At 43.3% G+C, this 23,586-nt stretch overlaps 1 protein-coding gene across 5 annotated transcripts in view, besides 2 other annotated features; it reads left to right on the top strand.

The window, feature by feature from the left end:
• Positions 16,972-17,041: an enhancer, noted in NCBI's record as "active region_17355". NCBI's record gives its function as "activates an Ori minimal core promoter by ATAC-STARR-seq in GM12878 lymphoblastoid cells {active_cell/tissue: GM12878}" and the evidence as "EXISTENCE:reporter gene assay evidence [ECO:0000049][PMID:35858748]".
• Positions 22,674-22,723: a silencer, noted in NCBI's record as "silent region_12475". NCBI's record gives its function as "represses an Ori minimal core promoter by ATAC-STARR-seq in GM12878 lymphoblastoid cells {active_cell/tissue: GM12878}" and the evidence as "EXISTENCE:reporter gene assay evidence [ECO:0000049][PMID:35858748]".
• DRC11 (dynein regulatory complex subunit 11) overlaps positions 22,849-23,586 on the top strand; it is a 200,792-nt gene continuing 200,054 nt past the window's right edge. For all 5 annotated transcript variants that reach the window (NR_073043.2, NM_001270584.2, XM_047445852.1 and 2 more), the window contains exon 1: positions 22,849-23,068. Coding sequence is in view for 4 of the 5 variants with exons in the window: in NM_001270584.2 (NP_001257513.1) it covers positions 23,058-23,068 (11 nt within the window). In the remaining variant the exon portion in view is untranslated. The remainder of the gene's footprint in view (positions 23,069-23,586) is intronic.

Below are 23,586 nucleotides of genomic sequence, written 5' to 3'. Positions count from 1 at the left end.
TGTCTTCTTAGATGAACATTTTGGAGCTTTCTAGAAAATTTCATTATTGATTTATAGCCCAGTTTTTATTTACTAATTATATCTTCTCTTACAGAAAAAAAATCATGATCTACCCAAGTTTAACTTGTAGGTTTAATAGTCAGTGTTGATGATCAGTAATTATTCTATATAATAGAAGTCCTACATTGAGAAGATGCTATTACAAAAAATGAAAGCTAAAAAGTTTTGAGAAATAATAGATGTCAATATATATATGAAATTTGGTATGAAACAGCATATAAAACAATAATTCCACTTTGTTTAGAAATGATTAGCAGTTTAAACTTGACATGTGACTATTTCCCCTTCATAGAGCCTTGAGTATTTCCTCAGTGAACAATATATTAGAACATATATGGTATTTTACCAAGTACATGTTTACTACCTAGGAAAAGCAACGGATTGAGAGGCCCAGGGTTTGGCATTTGAAATCTGACAAAAAGCAGAGAGAGAAGGATTGAACAGTGCTGCGCTGGGAAGCAGGACAGGGCCGGCAGACCCACAGAGAGAGTGAGGTCACGGGGGAGGCTGGCTCTCTCTGTTCCTGGCAGTTTTTCTGGAACAATGGCCCTTATGAGGTCTAGCTGATCTTGGATTCTGAATATGTCCTTGAGTCTTCTTAACATATCCTCTTTTTGTGTAAGTTAGTTGCATGGATTTCTTTTCCTTTTGCCAAGTGATTCCAGTGGTAATGCACTTTGCAAAGCTCTCTCAAATTCTCTCTTGTTCTGAGAGGTTCTAGACTGTAAAAGTCTTGAGGTCAGTCCTGGCTCTGCTACACTAGCTGTGTGACCTTGAGAAAGTTATATGACTTTGTTTTCATGTTTATACAATAATAAAGCTTGCCTCACTACTATAAAGTCTAAAGGAGAGATAGATATAGATATATAGATATATAGATACAGACATAGATATGAAAGGTGCTTTATAAACAAGAAAATGCTACTGATATGGTTTGGCTGTGTTTCCCCACCCAAATCCCATCTCGAATTGTAATCCCCCAGTGTTGAGGGAGGGACCTGGTGGGAGGTAAATGGATCACGGGGCAGTTTCCCCACATGCTGTTATGATAGTGAGTTCTCATGAGATTTGATGGTTTAAAAGTGGCAGTTTCCCCTGCGCTCTGTCTCTCCTGCCACCTTGTGAAGAAGGTGCCTGCTTCTCCTTCACCTTCCGCCATGATTGTAAGTTTCCTGAGGCCTCCCCAGCCATACAGAACTGTGAGTCAATTAAACATCTTTCCTTTATAAATTACCAGTCTCAGGCAGTTCTTTATAGCAGTGTGAAAATGGACTAATAGAGCTACATTCAGTTTTTTGATATTATTTTGTTCCCAAAACCATCCTGAGTAGTTTGTAGGAAAAATGCCATCACAGCTGTTTTCTGGATGAGGACTCTGGAGTTATGTGGGGCTTCGAAGCATGGAGATAAGACCAGCCAGAGCTGACTCTATTGATTGGTAGCAGAGTCAGGACTGAAACCCAGGCCCATGCAGGCCTGGCCGTTTCTTCTAAAGGTCCCCACTGATGGGGTCAGAAAGGCAGCATAGACAATGATTATGTCTGGAGTCATTCAGGGCTTTTCTTTCTGGAGAAAGCACAACTCAAAACAGTAGGTTGTAAGCCTGGTCCCAGATTCCCTCATCAGACCTCGCCAGGTGGAGACACAAGGCATTTCAGGGTGTTTCAAGCCTTCCTCTCTGGCCAGAGCACTTATGCGATTTGCATATAGTGTAATTATTGATGTCGTGGGATTTGAGCCTGCCATCTTGCTTTTTTCTGCTTTCTCTGCCTTCTCTTTGTCCCCACCCTCTCTTCTTAGAGAGGAGCGCAGGTCAAGAACAGAGTAGGCTCCAAGGTGGAGGTGCCACAGGAAAGTGGCCCTGCATCATGGTGGGGGACAGTGAAGTGCTGATGCTCCCTTGGGTTTCTAGGACTCAAAGGAAACGCAGAACCAACCCTTTGTCCTTTGCCACTCAAATGAGATTTGTTTGATAAAGATACATTTTTCACTTTAGTCACAAGAATGGTTTTATTTATTCAAAAAAGAAATGCAGCAATAACTATAAAGTCAAACATTTTCATTTGCCATAAGTAGTAAAAGTATTAATTGTCCATCAATTAGTATGGCTTTCAATTGTTGATAACATAAATCACCAGCTCACTTCCAAGGGCCCAGAAAAACAGAAAAGATGTCCTAGTACTCAGATCTTCTAATTGCATGTGAGGCAAGATCTGTTTATTTATACACGAGAAAGAAAGAAAAAGGGGGAGGGAGGGAAAGAGATCCAGATGAAAGTGATGTAAGTCCTGTAACTCTTTAAATGATCTGATATTGGCAGATACATGGCTGACTTGAGATAAGCTAGAGAAGTATCCTGTCTACATTGCCGGGCAGGGACAGTGAATCTGGTCACAGAGAATGAGATTCTAGTATATGGGAAAAAGAGAGGAAGCCCCAGGTTCAGCTTTGCGGGGAGGCAGTGTTAACACCCAGTGTCTCAGGTTTGCAAGCCACTAAACATATCTTTTTGCTAAGCCAACTGGAGTCAATTTTTTCCCGCCATTTACAACCTAAAAAAGCAAACAATCCTGCAGGAGTTTAGATGAGGGAGAGCTGGCCACAGACAGGGCTGGTAGGAGCGGGCCATGGCAAATGTGTGACTCGTCTGATCTTTGAAGGCCACACAGGAATGAAGTAACTGAAGGAGTTGCTGTGCAGGAGAGGAGCTTGCAGTTCTCAGCCCCAGAAAGAGCTCACGTAGGCCGCTAGGCAGTAATGTGTCGTTTAGTGAAAGGTCTCAGCTCTGGAAGAAGAAACGGAACTAAAATTTTCTTCTCTAGAAAAAAGGCGCCCATATTGGGAAGGAAAACATGTGGTGGTTTCTGGTGCATGTTTTGGTTTATCTTTCACCGAGAAGATAAGGAACAGCCCTCGTCTGATAAACAGCTTGAGATTCCAAGTGCTCGACATTGCTAGCATTCATGTTACAAGTTTAGTCTTAAGTACAGTGTCAAAAAACCTAACCAAGGGGGAATTTTTAGTCTAAGCTGGGACATGGTTGACAATTGTTATTGAAAGCATGTCTGGTGTGTTTACATTTCTGTAAAAGGTAACCCTCTCTGAGCCTGGAGAATGAGAAAAGCTATCAATAATGCCTCTTAACTTGTTACAAGTTCACACCAGGTCAATGTGCCACTAATAATTCCTTCAGCCAGAAGATTTATGTTGCCCCACCACTAGTATTTATTTTACACCATGAGCAATAGCCCTCTTGCCAGCTCTCAGTGAGCCCATGTAAACAGCCTTGGCTTGCTGATGGTACCTTTACCCCACACCCCTCGCTTCTGTCAAGAGACTGATGCACCACCTGCAAGCTGGGTTTGCCTGCACATGTGAAGCTGGCCACCAGGGTCTACTGCAAGTTGCCCTGAAGGCTACTGGTCACTACTCTACTGCCAGTGTTTAAAGCATGTGTGTGTTTAGCACCTTTTATTTTTTGTAATAAAGGAAAGCGGTTCAAAGTAGCGTCTTGTGCCATTATGAAACACAGAACATCTCTAAAACAGGAGAGGCCCTGGAGAGTGGCGCCATTTAGATGACGTTTTCCTGGGCTGACTGCAAGCACTCAAGAGATGCTCAGTGAAGGGATCAGGTGGAATCCGCTTACCAGGACCTCAGGACAGCAGCAGCCCCTCCCTACTGTGCCATGACCGCGCTCAGCCTTACAAGAGGTCACGTCTAGAGTGGATTCGCTTCCTTTATTCATGACACAAAAGGGAATGCAAAAAATGATCAAGGCGCAAACTCTACAGTTGGGGCCGGGCGCGGTGGCTCACGCCTGTAATCCCAGCACTTTGGGAGGCCGAGGCGGGCGGATCACGAGGTCAGGAGATCGAGACCATCCCGGCTAAAACGGTGAAACCCCGTCTCTACTAAAAATACAAAAAAAAATTAGCCGGGCGTAGTGGCGGGCGCCTGTAGTCCCAGCTACTTGGGAGGCTGAGGCAGGAGAATGGCGTGAACCCGGGAGGCGGAACTTGCAGTGAGCCGAGATCCCGCCACTGCACTCCAGCCTGGGCGACAGAGCGAGACTCCGTCTCAAAAAAAAAAAAAAAAAAAAAACAAAAAACTCTACAGTTGGAAAGGTTGTGAAGCGGTGAGAAATGGATACGAAGTCCAAAAGAAATTACAGTAGTCCCCCTTTATCCTCAGGGGATATGTTCCAAGACCCCAGTGGATGCCTGAAACCTATTGAACCTTATATATACTGTGTTTTCTCCTGTACATACATACCTATGATAATGTTTATAAATTAGGCATAGTAAGAGACTAACAACAATAACTACTAATACAATAGAACAATTATAACAATATACTATGATACGAGTTATGTGAATGTGGTTTCTCTTTCTTTGTCTCGCTCTCAGAATGTCTTATTGTGCTGTACTCACCCTTCCTCTTCTTGTGATGGTCTGTCTTGATAAAATGCCCAAGAGATGAGATAAAGTGAGGGAATGACCTAGGCACTGTGACATAGCATTCAGCTACTACTGACCTTCGATGATGCATCAGGGGGACCATCTGCTTTGGGTGCCCCTGGATCATCGAGCCGTGACCATGTGGATGGTTGGATGTCAGGAGAAGATGATGTGGATAACTAATGGGTGGGTAGCGTCTACACTGTGGAGACACTGGATGATTCATGCCATGAGTGGGTCGGCACAAGATTTCATCATGCTACTCAGAGCAGCATGCAATTTAAGACATAAATTGTTTATTTCTGGAATTTTCCACTTAATATTTTCTGACCATGATTGGCCATGGGTAACTGAAATCAGAGAAAGCGAAACCACATATAAAGGGGGACAACAGTACAAGAGCAGGTGGGAGGTGTTAAGCACCTAGAGACAGCAAAGGTCCACGAGGAGCTGGCAAGAGGTGGGCTCACTCTGGATTGGGAGAGCCAAGAGGGAGACAGCTGATGTGGAATACTTTGCTTCACACATACACATGCACATATGTGCGCGCACACACACGCACATACACATCCATGCACACGAACCCACATACATAAATGCACAGATGCACACACACACACATTCTAATTCCCTTACACTTGCAGAGCAGGGTCCATTCTGCAGAGGCTTTTCACAAGCATGACCCAACCAGCCTTGCAACAACCCCACGTAGGAGAGAGGTTTCACAGAGCATCTCCATTCGATAGAGGCTGGCCAGCAGGAGACGTCACTTCCAAATACGTCTATTGTTTTCTTCATTAGCCAAAGTGTTTTCTTCATTAGCCACATGCTTGATTTAATGGCATGTGGCAGGCAGAATTCTAAGATGGTCACCCAGATTCCCACCCCTGTTAGATATGCCTTTAAGCCCTCTCCTCTCGAATGTGGGCAGGACTGTGATTGGCATGAAACACTCGCTCCCTTGCTGAGACTTCATTGTAGTGGACTGGAGAGAGGTTCTCCAGCTGGCTTTGGAGGAATGAGCTGCCATGCTGGGAGAGGACCATGTGCCTGGGACCTGGGGGCGGCTTCCAGGAGTGCCACAACTTCAGGCATTTGAGTCCTGCCGACAGCCGGAATAGCTTGCCAGAGGACCCAGAGCTCCAGGAGGGAACGTAGCCTGGTCAACACTCTAGTTCAGCCTTGAAGACCTCAGGAAGGCAACCCAGCTAAGCTGTGCTCCGGCTTCTGGACAACAGAAACTGTGATACTAAATGGGGGCTGTTTTAAGTCAGTGAGTTTGTGGCAATCAGTTACAAAATAATGAAAAATGAATACAGAACACATCTTCTATATGGTTTATCCATTTCTCCTTTCTTTGCCTTCCCCCCACCCCCCACATCTGGCTATTTATCTTCTCCATTTGTCTCTGTCTGAATTCTGTATCCGTTACATTGTTTAATAATAATAGAACTTCCGTATCACAGAAAAAAGCAAAAGTGAGCCTCGTTAATCCTAGTTCAGCTCTTTTTTTTTTTTTAACTCATCCAAGACCTTGAAAGAAGCAGAAATAAAAGTAATCTCACTCTCACTTCTGGTTCTGTGGAAAACAGAGATTTATTCTTACCAGAGATCCCTGCATTTTCAACAAATAAACCAAAAGGTTTGATTTGGCACGTGATTGTCCCAGATCAGCTGAATGGCCAGTGTGTGAGCACAGGGTCAAGACCTTCATGCTGGGATCAGACTAGGAGGACACCAGAACCTCTTTCAGAGTCTGAAGACATTCTGTCAACCATAAGCAGGGGAAACAGAGTCTCTTGATTTGTCTCAGCAATGTGGAGATACCAACAAACGGGCCAGCAGCCCAGGCCTCACCTAGCCAACCTGCACACCTGTCCTCCTCCTTGCATCTCCAGGTCTCTGGGCACTTTTCATTGACTCTTGTTCCTAGTGCCTTTTTAGAGGAATGTGGATGAGGGCCCCATGCCCAGGAGGTGGCCTTCTCTAAGAGGAGCCAAAGGTTGGAAGTTTGGATGCTCCAATGTCAAATCTTTCTATACAAGAGAACTAAAACCGAACTCACAGTTCAGGTCACTTCTAGATTTGAAGTAGATAATTGGAAGCTGTATTCACAAACAATAACAATAATAAGTATATAGAACACTAAAAAGTTAAATGAAATTACAATTTGACTACATACCATTCATTTAAATTCTAGATGATTGTAATGATTTCATAGCATAGTATCTCATGATCCATGGCTTTTCTGAAATGATTTTTAAACTCAATCAGTTACAGTCACAAGAAAGCCATCAGTACTACAAATGGAGGTGCTGCCATTCTTATTAGCTTTATGCTACAATTATTGCTGATGTCATTAAATCTAGATGTAGCAAAGACAGAAAAAGAACAGATGTTAACAAAACAGTCTGAAGCAGAAAGTGTAAAGAAAGAATTTTTGGCAGAGAAACAACAAGTCCTATGGAGCCTAAAAGCCAAAAGCAATTACTTATTAAAAGAATAACTCTTTCCAGCCCTGATGAATTAAGTGGTACTGGATCAGCCCTCCCATCATAAATAATGATAGAACTGGATCAAATTTGTGAATTGTCTGTTTTTCAGGCATTTTCAGACCTGAGGTAGTGCAGAATCGGAGAGAAGAGAAAAGTAACAGGGATGAGCTGTGGCTTCTGGGAGGAGGTTAAAGAAAGACCCTGGCTCTCCTTTTGCTGCTCCTCTCATGCTCTCTCTTGCCTGCCCACTCAGATGGAGTTCAGCTACCATTCTGTGAGCTGGAGAGGCCTGTGTGGAAAAGAACTAAGGAAAGCCAAGGAAGAACTGGATTCCTCAGTCCAACATTTCACGAGGAATTTAATCCTGCCAACAGCCACTCAGGTAAGCTTGGAAGTAGACGTTTCCCCAGCCGAGCCCTCAGATGACACCACGGCACCTGCCTTCTCCCTGACTGCAACCTCATGAGGAGAATTCAAGGCAGAGGCATCCCACTAAGCTGTGCTTGGATTCCTACCCCACAGAAACCCTGAGCTAATAAATGTGCGTTGTTTTAAGTCACTGGGTTTGGGGATAATTGTTATGCAGCAATAGATAACTAATGTAGGAGATAAACAACAAAGAAAATTAATCAAAACAAAGATTGCCCCTTTGAAAATATCGATAAAAATGATAAACCCCTAGCAAGATCAATCAACGAAAAAAGAGAAAATATAAATTACCAATATCAGGAATGACAAAGGGAATATCACTATAAATCCTATAGATACTAAAAGAATAATGTGGAATATTATGAACAACTTCATATGGTAAACCCCACAACTTATATGAAATAATAAAATTACTTGAAAGGTACAACTTATCAAAACTAGGAAGAAATGGAAAATTTGAATAGTGCTATATCTATTAAAGACATTGAATTCTTAGCCAAAAGCTTCCCACAAAGAAAATTTCAAGCCCAGATGGCTTCTATCAAACATTTAAGGAAGAAAATAGCAATATAACAGAAACTCTCAAAAAATACAGGAAAAGGAGCACTTCCTAATTTATTTTATGAGGTCCAAATAACCCTGATAACAAAACTTGACAAAGATATTAAAAGAAAGAAAATTAAAAACTATAAATGTAGATGCAAAAATCTTCAACAATATCTTAGCATGCAAAATTGAGCAGTGTATAATAAGTGTAACCCACCAAGTGCAGCTTACCCCAGACATGCATACAAAAATCAATCAATGTACCTCACTCCATTAACAGAACAGAGAGAATCATATGATCATTCTAAACATGCAGAAAAGCATTCAACAAAATCCAGCAGCCCTTCAGAGAGAGACCCACACATATATGGACACCTCACTAGTGACAAAGGTATCACTGCAGAGCAGTGGGGAAAGGATGGTCTTCCTTCCTTCCTTCCTTCCTCCCCACCTTCCTTCCTTTCTCTTTTTCTCTCTTTCTTTCTCTCTCTCTCTGTCTCTCTCACTCTCTCCCTCTCTCCCTCCTCCATCCCTCTCTTTCTGTCTCTCTCTGTCTCTCTCACTCTCTCCCTCTCTCCCTCCTCCATCCCTCTCTTTCTGTCTCTCTTTCTCTTTCTTTCTCTCTCTCTGTCTCTCTCACTCTCTCCTTCTCTCCCTCCTCCCTCCATCTCTCTCTCTTTCTCTGTTTCTCTCTCTCTTTTTTCAGAAACAGGGTCATGCTCTGTTTCCCAGGCTGGAGTGCAGTAGTGCAATCACAGCTCACTGCAGCCTCAACCTCCTAGGCTCAAGCAGTCCTCTTGCCTCAGCCTCCCGAGTAGATGGGACTACAGGTGGTCCAGGATGGTCTTTTTATCAATAGTGCTGATTGATTTGAATTTTAATATAGAAAAGACAGAAATTCAATCCATCTACTTCACACACACATTTTTCATAGAAAAATTAATTCTCAATAGATTACAGATCTAAATGTGAAAGATAAAGCAATGAAGCTTTTAGAACATAATATAGAAGAATTTTTTTTCACCTTGAAGTTTGTAAAAAATTTCTTAAAGAGAACATCAAATACGCACTAATCTTAAAGAAAATGTTGATGCATTAGATTTCAGTAAAATTAGGAAAATCTGTTCATTAGAAGACACCATTTAAAAAGAGAAAACGAAAACCACAGGGTGGGAGGAGATCTTTTCAATAAAGGCATTCAACATAGACTTGTGCCAGAATACATAAATATCTTCTACCAAACAATAAGAAAAAGATAGAGGAAATTCAATAAAAGTGGGTCAAAAGATTTCCATAGGCACTTCACAAAATATCCAGACGGTCAAAGAGGTACACAGAAAGATTCTCAGTACCATTCTTACCAGAGAAATGCAAATTAAAGCCCCTGTAACCGGACGCCCACCCCCCAGTACCGGTCCGTGGCCTGTTAGGAACTGGGCCACAAAGCAGGAGGTGAGTGGCAGGTGAGAAAGCAAAGCTGCTCGCCATGGCTCGCATTACCACCTGAGCCCTGCCTTCTGTCAGATCAGTGGCAGCATTAGATTCTCACAGAACTGTGAACCGTGTTGTGAACTGCTCATGAGAAGGAGACAGGTTGTGTTCTCCTTATGAGAATCTGACTAATGCCTGATGATCTGAGAGGCACAGTTTCATTCCAAAACCATGCCCCCCACCCCATGGTCCATGTAAACATTGTCTTCCACAAAACCAGTCCCTGGTGCCACAAAGGTTGGAGACGGCTGCCCTATGAGAGAATGACACTACAACTCTAAAAATAAAGAAAAAGATAGAAAATACAAAGGGTTAGGAAGCCTGGGAATCAACCAGAACTCTTATTGGTAAAATGGAAGAAAACATTGGTAGAAACATGGTGGAAAACTTTTTTGTCAGTGTCTTCTGAGGCTGAACATGTGTATACCCCATAGTCCAGCAAGGAGTATGTGTGTGCACTGAAAGATATGTATGTGAATGATCTCAGCAGTGTTACTCCCAATAACCTAAGCCTGCATGCAACCCAACTGTCCCTCAATAGTGGAATGGATAAATAAGCTGTGATCTGTTCATATGTGGAATACTACACACAGCAATGAAAACAAACTACATCTACATGCAAGAACGTGAATGAATCTCACGATCAATCATAAGTAGGTTGAAAGGTGCTAGATACAAAAGAATAAAGTGGACCCTTGAACAACGTGGGTTTTAACTGCATGGGTTCCCTTATATGTGGATTTTCTTCCACCTCTACCACCTCTGAGACAACAAGACCATCTCCTCCTCTTCCTCCTTCTCCTCAGCCTACTCAACATGAAGACGATGAGGATGAAGACTTTGATGAGGATCCCCTTCCATTTAATGAACAGTCAATATATGTTCTCCTCCTCATGATTTTCTTAATAACATTTTCTTTTTCTTCAGCTTACTTTATTGTAAGAATACATTATACAATACATACAACAAACAAAATATGGGTTAGTGGACAGTTTATGTTATCAGTAAAACTTCTGGTTAATCGTAGGTGGGTAGCAGTTACATTTTTGGGGAGTCAAAAGTTACATTCAGATTTCTGACTGCCTGGAGGGTTGGTGCCCTTTTAACCCCTGCATTGTTCAAGGGTCAACTGTACACTGTATAATTCCATTCCCATAAAGCTTATATATGAAGTCTTTCTTTACAATGGAAAAATTAACCTTTGGTGTTAGTCAGGCAGCATTTGCCTTTGGGAAGGAGGGATAGAATGGGTTTGGAAGGGGTCCTCTGGGAGCCTCTGGGATTCTGCTATTCTCGTGAGTCTCGATCTGGGTATTTCATACACGGGTGTTTTCGAATTGTGAAAATGCATTGAGCTGTACGCTAAAGAGTTGCCCACTTTACTGCACTTATACTTTTATAAAAAGTCTTTTTAAGGTAGCTATTTAGTATTTTTACCTGCATTTCATGTCCCAGGACATCTACAAAATCTGAAACCATTTTCGTAGCATGGAAAGTGTAAGTAAACAACTCCCTGAGAATACACTAGGCAGACACATGCCCAGGATGGCTTTAATATGTAAACCTCCACAGCAGCAACAGACTGCACGGGGTCTAGACCAGTGTGACGCCTTGGGGGAAGCTGACAGGCGAGGGTTAGCAGCGTTCTGCCTGCAGTGAGGGCTGCTGCTCCTCCAGCCCTGGGACAGAGCAATGCCTCATCCAAGAAGTGCTGCACTTCTCAGTAGGAAGAGTGAGCAGGGCAGGGCATGGTGGCTCACGCCTATAATCTCAGCACTTTGGGAGGCCAAGGTGGGTGGATCACTTGAGGTCAGGAGTTCGAGACCTGACTAGCCAGCGTGGCGAAACCCCATCTCTACTAAAAATACAAAAATTAGCAGGGCATGGTGGTGGGTGACTGTAATCCCAGCTACTCAGAAGGCTGAGGCATAATAATAGCTTGAACCCGGGAGGCGGAGGTTGCAGTGAGCTGAGATCGTGCCACTGCACTCCAGCCTGGGTGACAGAGTGAGACTCCATCTCAAAAAAAAAAAAAAAAGAATGAGCAGAGGACAAGGAGACAGACATTTGGCAGACAGAGGGAGGAAGAAACAAGCCTACAAGAATTCTTACCAGCCTCCTGCCTGATATTTTTTAAACCAAGATTATATTTCTATTAAGTCTGGTGGTATTCTATGATTAATTAATAGATTAAGTAGACATTTTCTCTGCTCTTAAATTACATATTGCTGATGTAGTCAGAGCCATTGCCAATTCAAGACTTTAAGTATGTCTCATTAATGACTAAGTGTGTCACATTTTTAAGAGATGGGGTCTCGCTCTGTCGCTCAGGTAGTGGCACCATTATAGCTCACTGCAGCCTCAAACTCCTGGGCTCAAGCGATCTTCTTGCCTCAGCCTCCCAAGTATCTGGTGTTACAGGTGTGCACCATTGTGCCCTAGCTTCACTTTTGTTTTATGAACAACACAGCTGTTATTTGTAATTAGCTTTCTACTGTCAGTACCAAAAACTATTGTTTTGTTATAAGCACTGTGAAAATAAAATAGTAAGAGGAGGGATATGAGAGTCAAATAGCAAACACACACACCAGAAATTGGACAGACACATTATTTATTCAAAAGTTTTATCAAAATAAAGGAAACCGTCACTTGAGGTAGGTTTCAGACTGAATTTATCAATGGCTTGTGGAAATTGTGTTCATTTTAATAGACAGCAGGTGTTAAAACAATTGAAAAGTGACCTTCTCTGCATCTGGATTACAAAAGCTGCCTCAGTGTTTGTGAAAAAAACAGGATAATAATAAAAAAAAAACCAACATCCTGCCTCCAGCTAGTTCCTTTTTCTTTTTTCTCACACTGGGCAGTTTTATTAATAGATAATAGCAGCAGCTCATAAGAAACACACACACAAATTTACACTCATTTCCCAGTGGAAGTGATGTTTATTTGACGTAAAATGGCTTTGGTGTTTGTGAGATCTATTCTCTTTGGAACTCTATTCAGAAGGTTACATACACATTGCTCATATCCCTTTAAATTAGTTTACTAGCATATTCTCAACAAAATCTATCAACTCAGATTCATTTCCAGTGCAAACTATGCGTTGATATGTTACGGGAACAGACTGGAGAGAAGCCAAGATTCACAACCAAAACTGTTTGCTGTTTGGGAATGTTGGTGTCAGCTGTTGCAGGAGTTTGTAGTTATCATTGTTCTGAATGCAATGTGCATGTTATGAGCCCTCAACGGAACACCCTGTATGGAACGGGTCTTTGACACCTGGGATTTCTGTGAAGCCTAAACTGAGGAATACGGCTAACTGAGATGCCGATTTTCAGCAGCCCTCTAGACTTCCCCAGTAGCTTACAGGACTGCCAGCCACACAAGAGCATGCTGGTTTAAATTCGTGCCAAGTGCTTTACATACATTGTTTATTTAATCCTTACAGCAATCCTCTGAGGGAAGTAGAACTGTCCGCATTAAATTATAACATGCCATCGACCTTAGGGGTGGCTCAGAATAAGACAAAACTGTGAATGTTAGATCTCGAAGTATTAGGCCAAGGGTCTACCAATGCTTACTTTTAATGATTATGAATTAGTGAAACACATTTGATTTAGTTCCAGGTATGTATTCGAATTGAACAAGCTTAGCATTTCATCCATTTCTTTTCATACAGACATAACATTAGACATGAAAAGTGGAATGTTACCGCAGACAGTTTAATATCTGACATTTTAAAATACACCTCTTATGTAGAATGACATTTTATACTTAGAAGCATAGAAAATGTTTCTTACATCTAAGTTTAGAGGAGAAGGCCTTCAAATTCAATGTGAACTTTACACCTTTTCACTTTCATCTCCGCTGACTTCACTCTCTGCAGTTCTGCAGGCCTACCTGAGGAACGTGTTGGAACTGAATCAAAGTCAACCAGAAACTTCCACTTCCCTTTCACTGTGCCTAGAAGTGCCCATCAAATCACGGTAGGATCACAGCAGTCACTGTTCTCAAACTCCAGGACTCACACTCAGGGACAACTCAAACGACAGACTTATGACTTATTAAACAGGGAGGTAAACCCATCTTTCAAAGACTCGATTCCTTCAATACAAATTCAGTGAGGACGTGAGGAAAATTTCCAACAACGCTACAAACACTGAGTTTTCAGAAAAACACTTCGTGAACGAAATCTCTGGAATATAAAACATGTGAGTCAAATGATCACCTGGATACTAAGTACACAAGGTCACACCAGTTTTCTAGCAAAAGGCAACTTAAAAACCATTCAAGGAGTTCCATCACAATGCTTTGAGTGACACAGTGGGTATTCTTCCCTTTGTAGAGAGATAGACTTGGGTTCAGAAATGTTACTGGACTTTATCCAAGTCACACTGTTAGAAAATGGAAGAATCAGCCGGGCGCGGTGGCTCATGCCTATAATCCCAGCACTTTGAGAGGCCAAGATGATGGATCACCTGAGGTCAGTAGTTTGAGACCAGCCTGGCCAACATGGTGAAACCCTGTCTCTACTAAAAATACAAAAATTAGCCATGCGTGGTGGTGGGCGCCTGTAATCCCAGCTACTCAGGAGGCTGAGGCAGGAGAATCACTTGAACCCAGGAGGCAGAGGTTGCAGTGAGCCGAGATGGTGCCATTGCACTCCAGCCTGGGAGACAAAAGGGAAACTGAAGAAAGAAAGAAAGAAAGAAAGAAAGAAAGAAAGAAAGAAAGAAAGAAAGAAAGAAAGAAAGAAAGAAAGAAAGAAAGAAAGAAAGAAAGAAAGAGAGAAGGAAGGAAGGAAGGAAGGAGAGAAAGAGAGAGAAAGAGAGAAAGAGAAAGAAAGAAAGAAAGAAAGAAAGAAAGAAAGAAAGAAAGAAAGAAGGAGAGAGAGAGGGAAGGAAGGAAGGAGAGAGAAAGAGAGAGAAAGAAAGAGAGAAAGAGAGAAAGAAAGAAAGAAAGAAAAAGAAAGAAAGAAAGAAGGAAAGAGAAAGAGAAAATGGAACAATCAGGAACAGTTGCTCCAACTGACTACAATTTTACAGTAATCAAATGCCCAGTTTTTATTTTCTAATGAACAACCAGCTTATAACATGCCTGACTACATTGTTACCTAGTTTTGAGCATCAATAAACTAAGTAAAATATTAAACGAAAATAAGCAGCATCCTGGGCTCTACAGACTCATAGGCATGATCCACACATTGCGAGAGTTTTAGGAAACCTATAATTAGGAAGGAAGGGACACAGTGTGACACTGGGTGACCCCCACTGTGCCCTGGCCAATAAGAGAGGCATGATGCCTTCCTGGCCTTTCTCTGGGGTGTTACAGAAACCTTTTCAAGACTTACCAAAACAGCACTCTGCCACTTACTCCAGCTGGTTCCTTAAAGGCTGAATCACACCACCAAAACTCTCAGGGAAGGGTCTATGTATGGTGTGAGAACACAGAGTATTGGGATTTCTTGGAAAGAAATAAGGGTGGTGAGATGCCAGTGCAAATTATATCCCAGAAGAGTGCTTCTAGACCAGGGTTTAAAAATTGACGTGCACTTGGCAGAGGAATACATCTTCAAATTCTTTCTTTCCATTTATCCTAAAAATAAGTTTCTGACTCCCTAATTTGAAACATCTTCCCATATGCTTATCACTTTTGAGCTACCTTCCTGTCTCCTTCACCAAGCTTCAGTAGGTGTCTCTGTACTTACTCGCTCTAGCTCCTCCATTCTTCAGCCTCCATTCCTTCCCCAGCCCAACCTCCAGCTCTGCTCCTTCGAGCCACCTGCCACTGAAGCCTCAGCTCAGCTCAGAATTCTCCCTCTCTGAGCCACACCGCAATCCCATGAATTGTACTTTCTCAACATTTTATACCTTCTCCTCTATTCTTCGTTTCTCATTCAAAAATGTCTAGGTATCAGTTAGCTTCTCCTTGGTCAATGTCAATGATCAGTTCATAGCCAGTGCCTCCCCCCAAGCTGCCAGGAGCCTTAGGCGAGGTCCTCAGTCTGTTGTGCTTAGTTTTTACAGCCTGGTCTTTTGGTAGAGTGTATTTCTGTCTTGTCATGCTTCTCTCTCTCAAATATACAATGTGCCATTTTAGCTTTGTAAGTGTGTAATTCAGTGACATTAATTACATCCGCAATGTTGTTGTACAACCATCACCACTATATTTCAAAATTTTTCATCACCCCAAAAACTCTGTACACATTAAGAAATAACTCCCCACTCCCTCCTTCCACCAGCCCGTTAACCTCTAATCCACTTTCTGTCTTTACAAATTTGCCTGTTCTAGACATTTCATATGATGTGGAATCATACAAAGTGTGTTCCTTTGTGTCTGGCTTATTTCACTCAGCGTAATATTTTCAGGGTTCATCCATGCTATAGCATGTGTCAGAACTTCATTCTTCTCTACAGCTGTATGTTGTTCTATTTACATATACACCACATTTTGTTTATCCACTCATCTCTACTTCTTGTCTTTGAATTGTCCCCTGCCTCATGACCCTGTGAGCAATTATCTTGCTCACATAAACCTCCATAGTTTGAGGGTCGCCGTACAATTCAGTCCAAAGTTCTCGGCCTGCTATCAAGTCCATATAACATCTGGCCTGAGTCGATTCCCAGGTCAAAGGCAAATACTGGCTCTCGAACGAACATATCCCTGTACTTTTCCTGCTGCTCTACCTTTGCCGTGTTGTTTCCTTCACCTGGCATGGTCTCCCATTTCCTCAGGTCAAAGCCCCACTCACCTTTTACGTAGCTAGCTCTAATCCCACCAGCATAACACCTTCCACTTTCCCAAGGGCAAAGTAGCCCCTCTCTCTTCTAAACTCCCAAAAGACTTTGTGCTGTGACATTTAATCACCCCCTACCTTTATCTCTTCTACTCCACTCCCTGAAGGCTGAATTCCTATCAAAGGTTTCTTTTTCTATTGCACCACATTGAGTATTGTGATTGGCATAGTATGGGTGTCCATAATATTTGCCCAACTGAATTCATACATATTGAGAACACGGAGAAAAAAACATTTTCCCAGATACCTGGCAGTCTGATTATGAGGCTGTATAAAGACATGTACATTTGACATAAAATAAGGCATCAACTGTTTAGGACAAAAACATAGTAATTGTGGAAGAAATAGTGACCAATTTAGAGGAAATTATTTGAAAAGTGAATCAAAATAATGATTTGGACCTCAGATGCCTAGCAAGGTACACAGAATGGTTACTAAACAAGTAAGCTCAGAGTTTTCATGTAAGAAGAGAAAATAAGCTTATTAATATCACTCAGGCCTGGCAGGATGGGACCCTGGAATGGAACTGAGTAGGATAGAGAGACCAGGGTGGATGGAGCAGAGCTCTGGTCCTCCCTGGAAGCCCAGGACCTGCTCTGGCCCTTCAAGGAAGTAGCTTCTCCTTGGTGGATGTTAATGGTCAGTTCCATGGCCAGTGCTCTCCCGCAAGCTGCCAGGAGCCTTCCTGGGCAAGGTCTCAGTCCACTGTGCTTGGTATTTACAGCCTCATCTTTTGGTACAGTGTATTCCTGTCTTGTCATGCTTTAGTCTTACCGTTACTGGGGGAAATGGGAGGGGGTGTTAGCGAAGGAGGTGAGGAAGGAGCCTGGGTCCTTGGGTGAGAAGGTGGCAGCAGGAAGCATTGCATCCTCCCCACTTTGACTGGTTAGTGGCTGGCCTGCCACCGTGTGGCAGGAAAAGGCCCTGCTTCCTGTTGCAGCTTGAGTTGTCTTAGACCGAGGTGTAGACAGATGAGCTGCTTTGGGACCCTTTAACCCCGGTTCAGGCCTGGTAAAGAAACAAGTTCCCTGGTTTGGCTGAATTGTCATGGCATAATGAAAAAAACTACAGGAGAGAATTGTGCGGTTCTGAGTGACTGATGACTCATTAAAATAAAATAGGTCAGGTTCTGGCCCAGTGAACTTCATGTGATCACAGGAAATATTCCAGACCATTAAAATGATTTGTGAGTTTTTAGAAAAGGAAGCAGAGATAACAAGTATTATCATCTTGGATTTTCCAAAAACAAGACATGCCAGATCAGCCTAATTGTAAATTTCTGTAGTTACTAACATAATACATAAGGCAATGCTATAGCTAGGATATAGCTGCATATTACTGTGCGCTTGAAAATCCTTATCTCATGGATTTGTTGAGGGCAAGGAGGAATACAAGCCAGATGATAGCACAGCTGGCAGGTTTATAACTTGTGGATTGGTGCTAACTTGAACTCATTTCTGGTGCCATGCTGTGGGGCGCCCTGGCTTTGTCATTGAGAACATGTTTATCAATAGCATGGATCATTTGAGGGATGACGTGGAACTGGATGGGATGATGTATGCACTGAATAACAGAGGAGACATTCAGCAGGAGACACTGTAGGCAGTTTTGGGGGGTTAGCTGACTATGGGCATCATGAGTCATCGGTGTGGCGTGACCGCCCTACAATGGATCTAAGGTGTGGAGACTCAAGGAAGGGCCCCTTTTGCTACTTGATGAAATGCCTACCACCTCCCACTAGAAGCTTTTGTTTCATTGGTTTATGTCTGAAGGATGCTAAGTTGTGTTAACAGCATCACAGAGGGAAGGACAACTTAAAATCTTGTAATGTAGAAGAAGCTGAGGGTTCTTACTCTGTAACCAAGAGGACTTTGATTAGGGGCGGGGGGTGCAGGTGGACAGGTGGACATGGGCTTAAATTTTTCAAAGACTGCTCCCATAAAAGAGGGATTGGAAGCCGGGCACAGTGGCTCACGCCCGTAATCCCAGCACTTCAGGAGGCCAAGGCAGGTGGATCACCTGAGGTCGGGAGTTTGAGACCAGCCTGACAAACATGGAGAAACCCCATCTCTACTAAATATACCAAAAAAAAAAAAATAGCCTGATGTGGTGGCACATGCCTGCAATCCTAGCTACTCGGGAGGCTGAGGTAGGAGAATCGCTTGAACCCCAGGAGGCGGAGGTTGCCATGAGTCAAGATCGCACAAGATCTTGGCAACAAGAGCGAGACTCCGTCTCAAACAAAAAAAAAAAAAAGAGGGATTGGATTGTTCTGTTTTTCCCTGGAGCTTCAATGTAAAACCAAAGAGCAATAGTGAGAGTTTTCCGAAACCAGAATGGGCTTCCCAGAGGGGTCAGGCGCCCCTCTCACTGCAAGTGTGTTGGCAGAGAAGGGATGCTTAGGAGGTGGCAGGGTCCTGGGGGCTGGACGAATCTGAAGGAAGCAGATCTGACGACCAACCTGGAACAGCCCTTCCAGGCCTATTACCCCACGTGAAAATGCACGTGTGATGAGAAGCCTGTGTTCTGCTGAATGATCCCCTCCTCTCCTCCACTCCTGCAGGCAGAATTCTTCCTATCGGAGCCAACTTTTTTTCTATTGCATGGTGTTGAGTATTGTGTTTTTCACAGAACAAGTATCAATAAATATTTGCCCAAATGTCACATGTAGCAAGAAGACTGAGAAGACTAATTTCCCCAGGGACCTGGCAGTCTGGTTCTGAGGCTGTATGAATTATTAAATGTTGAGGATAAAGTAACCTTTTCTACTGTATCCATGTACCTAGGTAGCAGTGATTTTTCCTAAAGGATGGGTTGTTATGAGAACCAGCTTTTAGTAACATTTGTCTCGCAGAAAACCTATTTTTTTAAACAAATAGTAAGGTAGGTGTTGCTACCAACAAAAAGATAATAGGTGTGTTATCTTTGAATCCAGACTACCAGGTGACTTGAATACCAACTACATGATCATTTTGAGTATGGCTTTGGACATACCGTTGCTTAACTTCTCTGGGTTTCACTGAGGTCAGGAGTTCAAGACCAGCCTGGCCAAATGGTGAAACCCCCGTCTCTACTAAAAATACAAAAAAGTAGCCGTGTATGGTGGTGGGTACCTGTAATCCCAGCTACTCAGGAGGCTGAGGCAGGAGAATAGCTTGAACCCAGGAGGTGGAGGTTGCAGTGAGCCGAGATCACATCGCTGCACTCCAGCCTGGGCAACAAGAGCGAAACTCCATCTCAAAAAAAAAAAAGTTGGTGGGGGGAAGAAAATATTACCTACCTCACAAAGTTAATAAGATTTAATAAATGATCTATGTCAGGTCCCAAATACTTCCTGACAGAGAACAAGAGGTCATTAAGTGCAGCAACTGGCAAAGCTCCTAAGATATAATCACAGAGGAACTATATTTGTTCTCTTGCAGAATTGAGAAACCTTGTTCCACCGTCTTCTCATATTGAGTATTATGCTAATCTTTTTCACCTGATTTGTATCTTTTGATTGTCTGTATTTCATCATCAAGTAATTTATTTGCTAGAAGAGTTCATGGGTGGCTCATACTGAATGGTGCCTACATTACAGCCAATCCTGCCTTCTTCTGTGCTGACAGAGTTCTGATTGGGTTCCTTCATCTACCTCTCTACCTCTTAATGCAGGTAAATCCCCATTACTCTAAAACAGTAATGTGTATCATATTTCCCTGCTGGTTCTTTTTCTATCTTGGGATGTCACAGTGTGAGGATATAAGACCTAGAGCTGTGACAGGCATTTTATGACCACAAAGGAAGTCATTTCGTATGGTTACTATGACAGCTCCAAAAGATGGAAAGACCATTGAAGACTGATCCTTGATGATGTCACTGAGCCACTGAGATCATGAGCCACCACCTCTATTCTTGGTGTTAAGGGAGATTTTAAATCTTCCTATTGTTTAAGCCAATGTTCACTGGGTTTCTATTATTTGCATTTGTTAACACGTCAATCTGCACATGAGTGCTGTATCTCCTGAAGGCTTTCATATTGGGACTATTAACGTGAATGAGTAGAAATAGTCTTGGGTCACACTTTTCCCCAAGAACTTTGTAAATATTGCTTCATTTTCATCTGACATCAAAATCTGAGGCTAGCCAGATTTCTCCTACCATTTCTCTTTGAAGTTCAATAATGTATCCAGGACATTTCCTGATGTTGAGTGTTGTATATCAGTTTTCCCTGGAACACAGTGAGAATTTCTGATCTGCAGATTTAATTCTTTTATTTCAAAAACATTTCTTGTATCTCTGAAAATAGTCTAATGTTGAAGGTCTTTCTTGCAGGAATATCAACTAACCCTTTTTGTAAATTGCTCAGGTGTCTCACTCTTTCCTCTCTACATTTACTGTAATTGAGTCAGGTTTTTCCTCTAAGTCAGTAATTCAGCTGAATTGTGCCTGGTCTATTTCTTGGTTTTTCCAACTTATTTTCTGTATTGCACTACTTCTGTTTTTCTTTTGGTTTCCTTAGCTGTGTAATCTTCCTTCCTTTCTCATTCCATTGTTTTATATTTTCTCCCAGTTCTTATTTTATTACCTTAATGTTCTTATTAGCTTATTCTATAGCATGGAGCACAAGTAAAGATTTTTCTGTTTTGGCAGGGCGCGATGGCTCACGCCAGTAATCCCAGAATTTTGGGAGGCCGAGGCGGGCAGATCTCCTGAGGTCAGGAGTTCCAGACCAGCCTGACTAACATGGTGAAACCCTGTCTCTACTAAAAATACAAAAAATTAGCTGAGCATGGTGGTAGGCGCCTGTAATCCCAGCTACGTGGGAGGCTGAGGCAGGAGAATTGCTTGAACCCGGGAGGTGGAGGTTGCCGTGAGCCGAGATCACACACTGCACTCCAGCCTGGGTGACAGGGGGAGACTCCATCTCAAAACAAACAAACAAAAAAGATTTTTCTGCTTTTATTTATTTGGTTAGATTTTCTCCAGACTTTCTTTCACTTGTCTGGCCTATGTTATAATCCTTTCTTTTCTTCTACTTTTATGAAAGTCTTGGTTTTAGACAGTGGATATGCTGCTTCTTTCTGTCTTATTCCTATTTAACACGTGTTGCTCTTTGAAAATGTTCTGTTTGTTCAAATATAATGTGGGCGAATTCTCTTTGACTGTCTTCTCACTGTATCTGAGTTCCAGAGCTGAGATACTGCACTTTTCTCTGCTTTTCTGGAACCTGAGTACACATTTAGGATAAGGACTGCTCCCTTGAATCCACACAACTTCCAGGCTCTGTGCTCTCTTCTGAGATTTTGATAAGCTCCTTTACCACCATCCTCCCACTCTTGTCACGAGTGTGCCCTATTCCTGTGACAACATGCCCTTTGACTTTGAATCTTTGCCTCAATTCAATGTAGGGACCTAGAAAAAGGCAAGCCCTGGAGATTTCTCCTGTCCCTGCTCAGGTCCTGGGAGCGGTAGGGATTGACCTCCACTCAGGATGGTTTTATCTGGCCGGATTTCCCCAGGTGTTTCCTCGTTCGGCTCACCCTTTCATACCCCTTCTTTTCAGTGTGTGTATTCTTTGCATCAAAAAGCATTAATGAGAATTCTTGGTGTTGTGTCTACTTGGTCTCTGCCCCCTGAAGGGCTTTGGGAGGGTGGAGATGAGGCTGGACACCATTCTCCACGGCAAGCTGCTATTTCACTGAGTTTTTGAAGTTTACGGTACAAGGTTGTACTCAATTTCTCGTCTGAGAAATAATTTGCTCCATTATTTGAAGGCGGTGCGGAGGGCTGGCTTTTACTATGCTTTTGCGCATTTCATTAGTAATGGTGGGGGAGAGGTTTTGTGATCCTGATTATAATTTTTACCTGGATGTCCTCTCCACGCCTTTGACAGCATTAAACCTGGCGTTCCAATAGGAGCTGCAGGGTCTAAAATGTGCAAATAAACCTCAACAGTTACTAAAGTCGAAGAAAGAAGAGCAATGAAAGCCAACACTCATAGCGACTTACGGATAACTGTTAATAGCATCCACACTGCATTTTACATTTACAACGCACCCGCGCCTTAGTTCATACTCATTAAGTCTCCGAAGGGCGCGTCTGCCTAAGTCTTGGGTGCCCAGAATCTAAGTCTGCACTTGGCCCAGAATAGATGCCCAGTAAAGTTCTGAACGAACGACTGTTATACCCAGTTTACAGATGGGAAAACTGAAGACCACCATCATTAAGGGCCTTGCCCAAGGCCGCAGAGCTGACAGTGGATGAAAATGGGGCCAGCAGGAAAGCGGGAAGACGGCCTGGAGGACCACAGGCTAAGTGCTGGGGCCCGGAGCAGGCTCGCCAAGCGGCCGGGCCCCGCGACGGAGCGCTCGGACTCCGACCGGCTCCCACAGCTGCGCCCACCCAGGCCTCCCGCGGTGGCGCAGGCGCGGAATGCGGGGGGCGGGGGGGGGGAGGGGGCAGGCGGAAGGCAATGCGCAGGCGCGGCGTTTCCGTTGCTAGGGCCGCGTCGCGCCCACCTGAGTGGCCGAAGTGAGGTTCGCGAGTCTCTGGGTCGCGACGGGAAGGAGTGAAACACCTCTCTGCGCCTGCGCGCTCCGTGCCTGCGAAGCAAACCCGGCCTCACCTTTTCCTGCCCGAAGCAGAAGATTCTCGCAGTCCTGGTTTCTCCCTCCAGAAGACCCCCCACCCAAATCCTCTGTAGCTCCTGGTAGTGCCCTGACCCCTGCTGCCACCGTCCTTCAGAGAGCAACGGAAGAGCTTCCCGGAGGGCGAGGAAAAGAGGGAAAGTAGCCAGCAATGTCGAACGCGTAAGTGATGGGCTCCCAGCCACAGCCATGGAGTGGGCTTCCCCAAGCCAGAAGGTGGCTTGCTTTCTGCTTCTCTTATTTTCTTTTTTCTTTTCTTTTCTCCTCCCCTCTCAACTTCCCTCCTCTCCCCCACTTTTTTTCCTTTTAGGAAATTCAAATATGCCTCGGGATAGAGTATCTGCTTCTTGTGAGCAAGGAAAATCATACACTTAGATCTCCCCCTCCCCTACGCGTCCCACCACCCCATGGGGATGAGCTCCCAGTCTTCCGTATACCTGCCAAGCCCTTAGGGGCTATTGCTGAGAAGCACTATGCCATTTTGTCTGCTTTTTTTGTTAATCTTTCACGGTAACAAATACGGTGCTTTGTGGAAACACCTAGGTCCTGAAATTTAAGTCTAGAAAGATCTTGGGAAAGCATTATTGACATTTGCTTTTCACAGACTCGAGTGGCATTGGTACTGAAAGAAGTGTGTGCCTAGCACTGTGTCGTTTACACAGCACTTGCACAAAGTTACC

Source organism: Homo sapiens, chromosome 2 (assembly GCF_000001405.40).
Source record: "Homo sapiens chromosome 2, GRCh38.p14 Primary Assembly".
Classification (NCBI taxonomy): domain Eukaryota; kingdom Metazoa; phylum Chordata; class Mammalia; order Primates; family Hominidae; genus Homo; species Homo sapiens.
This window is presented reverse-complemented; position numbering and strand designations above follow the sequence as displayed.